Source organism: Homo sapiens, chromosome 1 (genome assembly GCF_000001405.40).
Source record: "Homo sapiens chromosome 1, GRCh38.p14 Primary Assembly".
Lineage (NCBI taxonomy): Eukaryota > Metazoa > Chordata > Mammalia > Primates > Hominidae > Homo > Homo sapiens.
Genome location: NC_000001.11, coordinates 20,475,333 through 20,486,210, shown reverse-complemented (window position 1 = coordinate 20,486,210; position 10,878 = coordinate 20,475,333). Strand labels below are relative to the sequence as shown.

The window sequence follows — 10,878 nt, the reverse complement described above, 5'->3', positions numbered from 1 at the left end:
ATTTCTCCTCGCAGCTCGCTGCCTCCTCTATCCCTGCCTCCCTCTCCCCCCTCTGTTTTTCTCCCTTCCTTCCCTCTCCGACCCTCTTCCTCTCCCTCCCGATCCTTTCCCTCCTCCTCTCATCTTTCCCCTGTCTCTCCGTTCTAGCTCGTCCCCCACCCCACCTTTTCTTCTTTCTCCTCCTCTCCTTCCTCTCCCCCTCTCCTCTGTCTCCTTCCACCGTCTCCCCTGCCTCCCTGTCTTTCAGTCCCTGTTTTTCAGCCCCGTCTCCCTCTCGGTTTCTCTCCCCCACCCTCCCTCCGGGTTTCCTCCCCGGTGCCCTCCCTCCTCTCTCCCTCCCCTCCCCCTCCGCCCCTCGCAGCCCCGCCGCTCGCAGCTCCCAGTCTGCCTCCCCGAACCGGCGCCGCCGCCCGCACTCGCCGCAGGACCGGCCCGCCCGGCTCCCGGGGTGCGCCCTCCTCGGTCCCGCGCCCTCCGGGCTCGCAGGGACGTCTCCTCCCTCCCGGCTCGCGGCCCCGCCCGGCCCGGCCCCCGCCCAGAGCCCCAGCGCGCCGAGGATGTGAGTCCTGCTCGCCTCTGGCGGAGCAGCAGCCACTCGCGCGCGGAGCCGGAGCGCAGCGCAGCGCAGCCGCGGGCGCTCTCCGGGCCGCTCGCGCGAGTGCCGCGCTCTTGCCCTAGCGGCGTCCCCCGGCCTCTCGCCGGCGCCACCGCCGCAGCAGCCCGCGGGCCGTCCCCGGCCGGCCGCCCCCGGCCCCAGCGCCGCTGACCCTGTCCGCCGCGGGCGGGGACGCGGGCGGAGGAGGCGCCGCGGCGGAGCCCCCGGACGCGACCATGTCGGAGGTGCTGCCCTACGGCGACGAGAAGCTGAGCCCCTACGGCGACGGCGGCGACGTGGGCCAGATCTTCTCCTGCCGCCTGCAGGACACCAACAACTTCTTCGGCGCCGGGCAGAACAAGCGGCCGCCCAAGCTGGGCCAGATCGGCCGGAGCAAGCGGGGTGAGTTCGCGGCCCCCTTGTCTGACACCCCCTTTTTCCCGCGCCGCGGCCTGAACAAGGGTTGCGGAGGTCTCCCACCCGCTGGAGCCCGTTCAGACCTGACGGAATCCCTTCTTGCAGAATTGGGGGATCCCGCACTGCGGGTCCGGCTGAAGCGGGTCGCAGGAACGCGTCCCCCTAAGCCGGATCCCCGGCTGGGTCACCCTGGGGGCGTGGCGGCTTCTAGCAGCAGCTGGGGGTCTCCACCCGCGCGGCAAAGTTTGCTTTTTGATTTGCGCCCCCCACCCCCGCCTTTTGCGCAGTGTAGTCACAGCTGCACTCGCTCCATAACCCTGTGGGGAGGGGGTCCCAGGGACCCCCAGGGGACGGCGTGGGGACCTGCGTGGGGAGGATCCCATTCCTGCGGGGAAGGCTAGGGTGTTCGGGTCGCACGGGCTTTTCATTGTTACTTGGCTTGGGAGGGGGTTTGCCAGGCCTGGGCGATCCGCGCGAGAGCTGGAAAAGCCCCAGAGAGGCGGAGACGCAGAGAGGCTCCGAGAGGAGCTCCAGAGACGCGGGGACAATGAGGGGGACCGACGGCTGCAGAGAGAGACTGAGACGCAGGGATGGAGGGGAGGGGGTACGCGGGAGACCGAGGGTGGCAGAGACCGAGACAAAGCTCCCGAGAGGGGAGCTGAAGCGGGAGAGACAGAGCCGAGGACGCGCGTTTGGGGAGGACGCAGAAGCCGCCGAAACAATAAGGGCGACCGACACCTTAGACAGGGAGAGACAGAGACCTCGATCGGCTGCCGGCCGTCGCGCCGAGGGACGATGGAGGGACTGAGAAAGGCGAGGCTAAGTCGAGACGGTAAGAGAGGCCGAGGTTACGGCATGTGTCCCTGGCAGGCAGCGAAGGGAGGCTCTGACCTCTGCGGCAGCGGGGAGCGCGGGGCGGCCGAGTCAGTCGGCCAGCGGCTGGGAGAGGGCGCGCAGGAGGGGGCGCCCGCCCAGGCCAGGCCCTAACCCCCACCCGCTGCGCGTCGTGGGAACCGGTTTTGGCGTCCCCTCCTGGTTCCGCTCATCTCCGCACCTAGCCTTGCCCACCGGAGCTGCGCTCGGGACTTACCTGGGGTCCCGAGACCCAAAGACTTTGGCTCCCTCTCCTATCCCAGCTCCAGACATTTCTGTCTAAATTAGTGCGCCTGGTGCGGGGAGGACGCGGGCCAGTGCGCGCCCTGGCTGCAGCAGGAGCGGCTGGGTTGGCGCCCTCTGTTTCCTTTTCTCAGAATGGAGCTGGGACGCAGGCTGGAGGATAGAGGGTGGTGGGTGGTTCAGAGGAAAGCAGGGAAGGGACCCCTGGCAGGGACGGAGGATGGAGCTGTTTCACCGCGCAGTGAGCCCTGCTCCCTCGCCCTCTCCTCTCCCGACCTCCCACTCTGGGCATAACGGGAAATGTCAGAGACCTCTGGCTAGGCCCCAGCGCGCTCACCTCTCTTTTCCCCCCTTTTTTTGCAGTTGTTATTGAAGATGATAGGATTGATGACGTGCTGAAAAATATGACCGACAAGGCACCTCCTGGTGTCTAACTCCCCCAAAGACAATGAGTTAAGGGAGAGAATAAGAACGGCGGTAACAGTTATTGGCAAAAAGCATGAAAAGAGAAAGCACTTTGAAATTTATTACTAGCTTGCTACCCACGATGAAATCAACAACCTGTATCTGGTATCAGGCCGGGAGACAGATGAGGCGAGAGGAGGAGGAGGAGGAGGAGAAGGCTCTGGGCTCCTCTGCAAAAATAAAAATAAAAAAATAAATAAAATTTTAAAAATAATAAAAATTCACTATATACACATATAAAGAAATAAAAAGAAGTCTCAGTTGCAGCTATTTGTCAAAATTAATATCCATTTCTTTTTATATACGGTGAATATTGCGCAATTATAGATCTGGATTTTGAACCACTTAATGAAGCGGCAACACCAGGTGTTTTGAGGTGTTGGCATTCTTCGCTGATTTGGCTGTTCCCAATGTTTACATTATTTAATCTTGCAAAAATGGTTCTGTGCACTTGGATGTGAAATGCTGTCCAGTTTTATTTTTTTTATGTTGTTATCCTTGGATGTACAAAAAATTCAGAAAATGATCTCTGTAGATATTCTGTTTTATTTTGGTCATCTTTAGAAGTTATCAGGAATGTGTTTAAAACAAGAAGAGAACTTTTCTAAGGAATGATACATAGAAAAGATTTTATTTTAAAATGAGTTGTAAAGCTTGTGTTTCTTTGTTGCTGCAAGCTATCTGCCCAAGTTAATGCAAATGGACACATTTTTTATGTCAGAAAAACACACACACACACACACACACACACACACACACACGAAAAACAAAGAAAAAAATGCTTGAGCTTTTTCTAACTTCCCCTTGCAGTCTGTTGTGTGAGCAGCCTGTTTATTTCTCTAATATTATGTCAGTTTATTCTCTTTAATGGACTGTAAAAAAATGTAATCACAAGAGTGCCAAATATCTTGAAATGCCAAAAGGCATTTTAGTTTCTTTTCTCTGTGCTCTGAGTCCACGTACAGGAATGCTTGGAGTGTCTTTTCTGTTATTTATAGGGATTCTCTTAAGGCACACCAGCTGCCTGTTTTGCATGGTATTTGCAAAAATGCCTCTTGCGTGAGGAAATCTTTTACCATTTTTTGTTTGCAACTTTGGACCTCAAGAGGTTTCCCTTCCCTTCCCCGTTCCCTCTTTTCTTAATTCAATATTCTGTATGTTGCACCTTGAACCAGCACACAGGGCTATTTCTCCAATGTACAATAAAAGAATTGTTCCTGTGTCTCACTCCTCTCTTTTCTCTGCTTTGGCTGGGGGGGTGGGGTGGGGGGGACATGACTTGCTGTTTGTGGGCTGGCTGCAGACAGGAAGGAGGGATGGTGGCTTTGGTCTGCGAGGCAAAAAGGCAATGTTGGGGTCCCCTATGGGTGGGCTCAGATGAGAGGAAAGATGGACTGGACTGGCAAGGCCATCCCCCTAAGGTGAATTTATTCCATTTTGGATTTGCAGGTTGAGCTCTCACTGCATCCCTGAGGTTTCTGCCATCTCTGGTGGGGTGAGGGGAGAAAGAGGGATACTGTGCAGGGAAGCAGGCAGTCTTGTTAAGAGTGACTTTGCAGGCTGGCAGAGTTGGATGCGAGTCCCAGCTACCCGACTTCCTAGGTCTTTAGACTTGAGCAAGTGCCTCAATTTCCTAATCTGTAAAGTGAGGATAACTCAGCCCCTGCCTCATAGGGTTATTAGGAGGATGAACACAGTGCCAGCACATGGGAACACTCAGTATCAGGCCACTCTACGCACCTTTCATACTTCGCCAGGGGCCCCCTGTCCTCAGAGGCGGGGCTGCAGATGAGTTGCATTCTGTCTTCATCTTCACCTTCCGGGGCTCACAGGTCAAGGGATGCGCTGCTCCTGGGGGTGCACGGCCTGAGAGGTCTCAGGCACCTGCACTTATCAGCCTTTCTCTAATCATCAGTTAGAAGGGCTTGATAGGAAGACAAATCTTAGCCCCTTGTTAGGCTTGGGGCAGTCAAAGGTCGTGGAGCAGGCCCCTGGGGGAGGAGGGTTTGGGAGGAGGATTTTGGCTGAAGAAAGACTGGGAGAGTTTTTTTTTTTCTCCTGGGCTATTACACACCCAGAAGTGCTGGGAGCTTTTAATGTGTTTGTGGTAAAGCTGTCAGCCAGGCGTCACAACACAGCTCACAGTGACAGGAGCCTAAGAGTGACTCAGACTTCAGGTGAGAGGCTAGGGGAGGGGGGCAGGCAGGAGGAAGAGGGGCTCCAGAGGGCCCAGAGTGGGTGATGTCTCAACCTCCTTCCCAGGCAGTGGAGGCCCAAGGGCTCAGGAGGTCCCAGCAGAGAGCTCTCCATGCAAGCAGTTATTATTGGGAATGGTGAGCAAGCTGGGGCTGGCGGGGCCAACAGGAGTGGGAATGCCAGATTGATTTTCCCAGGCACCTGACCCTCCTCCAGAACCTGCTCTCCTCCCTGCTTACCCGGGGACTCCCAGCACCTGGGAGCTGATGGGCACCATGGAGCTCAGCCATCCCCTGGCATTCCCGCTGATAGGCTGAGGGGGACAAGGCATCAATCTGCCGAGGGGCAGAAGCCATGTGAAAAGATTCTTTCAGAAGACACGATTTGTGTCCACACCCAGGAGTAATTGCCACTGACGTGATCAAAGCACTGTGTAATTACAAGGTGTTTTCTCTCCTGTTTTCCTATGCAATCATCCCAGCACCCCTAGAAACCCATGAGTTGCTCTCTTCAGTAGGTAAGGAAATCGAGGCCCCAGAGAGGCCAAAAGGATCGCACAGCCTCTGCATTAATTGAGCTCTTACTGTATACCAGGCTCACAAAACCCTGTGAAATAGGCACTATTATTATCCTGATTGTACAGGAGAAACCGGGGCTCAGAAGGGTGAAGTAACTTGTATAAGGTGACTCAGCTAGTAAGTCACTGAGCCAGGACTGAAACCCAGGGTCCACCCTTCAGGAGGGGGATGCAGGGTCATCTGACCCCAGGACCAGGCTCAGTCCCAGCTGCAGTCACTGTCCTTCAGCCTTAAAGGTCCTTTGTTGGTTTGTTGGTTTGAGGCCCTGTCGGCTCTGATAGTCATTGTGTAAGGGTTTAGAAGGGGGGCAGGGCTTGGAAGTGGTCAGCTAAGGCCTAAGGCTGTCCTCTGTTGGGAAGCAGGGAGTATGGGAGCCCTCGGCCAAGGCTCCAGGTCCATTTTAATAAGTGATGTATTAAAACATTCCTGCTGGAGGCCACCCCGCCAGCGAATGCCGGATCCTCTGCTTGGGAAGACAGTCCTCCTTTCCGAAGGACTCCATTCAGCAAAAAGGAATATAAATCTTTTAAATACACTATAGCATCAGGTAAACATTTGTTGAGAGGGCACTTTGGGGACCGGGCAGATATCAAATTATACCAAGTGCAGGATATGCTTGAAGTGTCCGGTTAGGTAGCAATAAATATGGAAAAGGCTATTAAAAGTCCAAGGTGGGGGAGGTCTATAGGCCTCCACTGATCGATGGGAGCATGCCAGCGCTGCATTATTCAAACTTAATTAATTGAATGGTTGTAATAAGCATCCATCTCCCTGGATTCTGCTTGCGTGGCCTGTCCAGGCTGACAGCCTGAAGGAATATCAAAAAGCACCTCTAAGGGGGAAATTGGCAAATTAAGTTTTAAAAGAGAGAGACTTGAAAATCACTGCTGTCTGGAGGAGACAGATGAAGGGATGAGTAAGGGGTGCCTCTGCAGAGAGCAGGGAGGGGACTCCCAGGGTCTGGGGGCCTGGTGGGAAGCTCTGGCCTAGAGGGAGGGGTCAGACATTAGGGTGGCTGGTACATGGGTTTGGGACACAGATGTTTTGGATTTGAAATCTCCTATACTTTCTAGCTGTGACTTGGGCATTTCTCAAGTTCTTTGGGCCTCTGTTTTGTCTTCTATAAAATAGGGATAATGACAATTCTCACACATCATTAGATGGAAACTCCTCCCTTCTCCCTGCACAGGGCCTGGTGCATAATAAATGGCATCCATCAATATTAACATATATGAAGTGACTACCATGTGCCAGGAAATGCACTTTTAAGATCTAGCCAACTGTTTTTGTTGCATGAAGCTTCTTTGCGTATAGTTTTGGCAGTTGCCCTGAGGGTCAGTGGAGGCATCTTGGGGGTTTGAAGGGTGGGGTCTTGGGTGAGGAGGTGGGGAGTGGTTTGGGGGGATCAGCCTGCCTCTCATGATCTCCATCAGCTCCCAAAATGTCCTAATAAATACAATCCTAAGTAAATCCACATGCTTGCCTTCCAAAGGCAGAGTCAAGAGGAGTCTCTACCCGCTTCTAATCAGATTGCCAGAAGTCTTCCTTTTCTGGATGGAGACTAAGAGGTACTTACTTCTCGCCCTGGGAAGGGAAGATCTTGGCTTTCTGCTTGGATCACTTCCTTCAAGAAGACCTCCTCAAGTTTCTTTCATTGGACAAATATCAATTTAGCACCTACTATGTGCCTGGTACTGTGCTAGGCTATCTGGGTATACCATGGTGAACAAAATGGATGTTTTTCCTGAGCTTGAAAATGATGATTCTTCCTATGGAAATGAGGTTGGGATCTAGGGGCTTGGATACCCCCCACATCAGAAGCTCAAATCCTTCATAAATGGCAAAAAAGGGGAATCAAAGATAGCTAGGTTTTGAGGATTACCTAAAGCCCAGACAGATGACTCACTGTTTAAAATGTAAACTTTTAGAATAGTTTTAGACTTACAGAAAAGTTTTGCAGATAGTACAGAATTGCCATATACCCCAACCCAGTTTCTCCTATTGTTAACACCTGACATTGCTGCGGTACATTTTCCACAACACTGGTATGTTATTGTTAACTAAACTCTGTAGTTTATTTGGATTTTATTAGTTTTTACCCACCATCCTTTCTCTGTTCCACAGGGTCTCTCACATTGTATGCAGCCATCTTATTTCCCTAGGCTGCTCTTGGCTGTGGTAGTTTCTCAGACTTTCCTTGCTTTTGATGGACTGTTGGTCAGGTAATTTGTAGACTGTCCCTCAGGTGGGGTCTGTCTGCTGTTTTTCTCATGGTTCAACTGTGGTTATGGGTTTGGGGGTGATGTGCTGTTTCCATCACATCATATCAAGTGTCCATGCTATAGACACGACTGATCGCTGCTGATGTTGACCTTGGCCATCTGGCTGAGCTAGTGCTTGTCAGGTTTCTCTCCTGCAAGATTACTCTTTCCCCCTGCTTTCCATACTATACTCCATAGAAGGAAATCATTATGCACAGCCCACACTTCAGGGACAGGGATTTATGTTTCACCGCCTTGAGGGAGGAGTATCTCCATAAATTATTTGGGATTCTTCTGCACAGGCGATTTGAGTGACCCATTTTTCAGTAGTTTGAACTTCGCCCCTGTGTTGGGCAAGGCCACTATGAGTTAGATTTAATAATGAATTCCAGGCAAATGGGAGCAGTGGGGGGAAATAAGAAAATGCCCACAGGTGCTGCCTGATGACCAGTATATAGTCTTACAAAAGAAGAGATAAAAAAATTAATAAAAGTAACTTCCTGTGGAGGGGAACTGTCACCCTGGTTAGAAACTGTGCAGAATTTTTTTCTTGGAAACCTTCAGGCAGCTGCTCTGGTTTATAAAGTCTGCCTATTGGAGGGAAGGAAAAGAGAGAGAGAAAAAAAAAGGTTGTCGTTATTCCAGCAACAGAGATTCTCCCAAACCACATGCAAAAATAAATCAGAGGCGACTGGGCCGTATCCGAGGAAACCTGGCAGCTGGGCTGGAGCTTGTGGGGTGGCCCCTAAGGGCAGAGATTCTGCGTCCAAAAGCCCCTGCCACCTCCCTAGTGGGATGGAGAGTCCCAGAAAGCCGCTGGATTACCCCTACACCCATCGTGGCAGTACCAGGCCCCCATTTGTCTCCCCCAGGATGGGGGATGAGGACGGTTTACTTTGTTGCCTCTCACATTGGAGGGTTTTTCCTTAACCCAGGGGAAATGTACACCTCTGGACCTGGAGGAGGGTCCTTGACCCCAAAACAGCCATTTTGAGGACAAAGGGTCACTAACCGGGGAGGGAAGTGAGGGAGGGCAGGCTGAAGGGAGGAGGAGGACCCAGGCAATGTGCCATGGGAACTGTGAACAGCATGGTGATGGCAGTGGGGTGGGGTGGGGGCTGATGGCAGGAAGTGGTCAGCGTAAGGGGTGTCCTGTAAGAGAGAGAGCTGGGTGGCCAGGGGCTTCAGGAGCTTGCTCTGGGAGGGTGTTTGGGTAGAGGAGATGAACTAATTAATTAATTAAATCTATATTCATTCAACAACTCCTCTACCAGGCATGGGGTGGAAAGTGGAGGTGCAGGAAACGGGTTTGTGCTTGGCACTGGGGAGACCGGGCTGGCTAGAGCAAGACCTTTTCTGGTTCAGGGATTTTACTGCCTGGTCAAAGACAATTCAATGACTGTGACTGTCAAGAGGTTAGAGAGGGGGGTTGGGTGGGCCCGCAGGAAGCACAGGTAACCCTTGGAGAATCCCAATGTGGCCACCCTGGGTGTTTTAGGAAGAATTGGCAACTGCATTCCAATCCCAAATCTGCTAATAGCATGCTGTGTGACCGTCACCTTCCCAACATGGAAAATAATGCTTCCTCAGTGCTGGCTACAGACCAGTAACCACTCTGCCCTCTTTGCATTTAGTCCATTCAATTTTCACAACCCTATAAGACAGTCACTTATTATCATCCCCATTTTACAGATAATGAACACCGAGGCACAGGGTGGCCAAGTCCCCTGCCTAGGATCCTACAGCAGGAAATGGTGGAGCGGGGCTTGCAACCAGGACGGGCAGGTCCCCAGAGTCCGTGGTCTCAACTACTCCCATAAAACGAGGGGGTCAGACAGGATGATTCTGTAGGTTCCTGCAGCTGGAAGCTCCCAGAGAACACAGTTGGGAGTCTAAGACGCCCAGCCTCCCGTGGGGGAGGGGAGACAGAGGATCCGGTTGTCCGTGAACCCTGGACCAGGCCAGCCGGTTGCCATGGGGACGGCTGGGCGGAGGCGGCTGGCCAGGCCTGTTGCCCCGCGGGGCAGTTCCGGGGAGCTCCCTCCCGCCAATGGCAGGGAGTGGCACCAAGCCGGCACCTGGGGACTGTGTTTTCCTGGCAGCCAGAGTCCCAGGAATTTTCCCCTCTCAGACCGGGGAGACCACAAGTCCCCCCAGCCGTCTGAGCCTCCTCCGACCTGAACTCGATCCTCCACGAAGCCGCCCTTATCTCCAGTTCATCTGTGTGAATTATTTACTGCGTCTGGCGGCCTCCCGCGCGGCCTCCCTGCCCCCGCAGGATGTGGAACCCACGTCCTGGGTTCCGAAGCCCCCCTTTTCTCATTATCCAAGGAGTTCCAGAGTTAGACCTCAGGGGTACCTGGGGGGAAGGAGCTTCCCACCCCCTCCCGCTTTCACCCAGAATTCTTTTCCGGAACCAGAGAGCACTGACTGAGTTGGGAGCCAGGGCACCTGCAGCCCTGCTTGGGTCCTCTGGGAACCTCAGCAGTCTCATCTGTGACCCTGGGGTGGTGATTCCTGCCCTAGGTGCTTCCAGAACTGCTGATCAAACCCCACAAGGTAATGTGGGGGAATGACCTCTGCAACCAAGGCATTGTATGAGTGCGCAGTTATCACTATCGGTATTCTATTTTTTTTCCATTATTTAAATTTTCTTAATAGCCTTCTTGTCATGTGCCACAGTGCTAAGTGTTCCGTGTACATTTTCTTATTTAATTCTCACAGCAGCCCTAGGAATCATGTTTATGGTGTGTGCCAGTTACAACTATATATCATGCCCATTTCACATACAAAGAAACCGAGGCCCAGAGGTTCTGAGTAACCTGTCCTCAGTCAGGAAGGAGCCAGGAGTGGAAACTGAGTCTGAGTCTGGCTTCCACTCTGAACTCTTTTTTTTTTTTTTTTTTGAGACGAAGTCTCGCTCTTGTGCCCCAGGCTGGAGCGCAATGGCACGATCTTGGCTCACTGCAACCTCCGCCTCACGAGTTCAAGTGATTCTCCTGCCTCAGCCTCCCGAGTAGCTGGGATTACAGGCGACTGCCACCATGCCTGACTAATTTTTGTATTTTTAGTAGAGACGGGAATTTCACCATGTTGGCAAGGCTGGTCTCGAACTCCTGACCTCAGGTGATCCGCCCGCCTTGGCCTCCCAAAGTGCTAGGATTACAGGCGTGAACCACCACGCCCGGCCCCCACTCTGAACTCTTAACCACTCCTAAATTCCATGCCACATTGCCTTCTAACCTGGGGG

General features: G+C 53.1%; 1 protein-coding gene and 1 long non-coding RNA gene across 2 annotated transcripts, besides 1 other annotated feature; one reads left to right on the top strand and one right to left on the bottom strand.

The window, feature by feature from the left end:
• Window positions 1-3,820, top strand: CAMK2N1 (calcium/calmodulin dependent protein kinase II inhibitor 1). Its single transcript, NM_018584.6, has 2 exons — window positions 1-997; window positions 2,492-3,820. The coding sequence occupies exons 1-2, from the start codon at window positions 832-834 to the stop codon at window positions 2,560-2,562; spliced, it is 237 nt and encodes a 78-aa protein (NP_061054.2). The 5' UTR covers window positions 1-831; the 3' UTR covers window positions 2,563-3,820.
• Window positions 1,766-2,700: an enhancer, noted in NCBI's record as "H3K4me1 hESC enhancer chr1:20810004-20810938 (GRCh37/hg19 assembly coordinates)". NCBI's record gives its function as "activates a minimal SCP1, AML or CMV promoter by ChIP-STARR-seq in primed H9 embryonic stem cells {active_cell/tissue: H9 hESC(primed)}" and the evidence as "EXISTENCE:reporter gene assay evidence [ECO:0000049][PMID:30033119]".
• A 3,597-nt stretch (window positions 3,821-7,417) lies between the features above and the next one.
• LOC124903871 (uncharacterized) lies at window positions 7,418-9,989 on the bottom strand. The gene is made up of 2 exons (XR_007065528.1): window positions 9,806-9,989; window positions 7,418-8,219 (listed from the first exon to the last, which is right to left on the bottom strand). It is a non-coding gene; the product is annotated as an uncharacterized LOC124903871 (long non-coding RNA).
• Window positions 9,990-10,878: the final 889 nt, after the last annotated feature.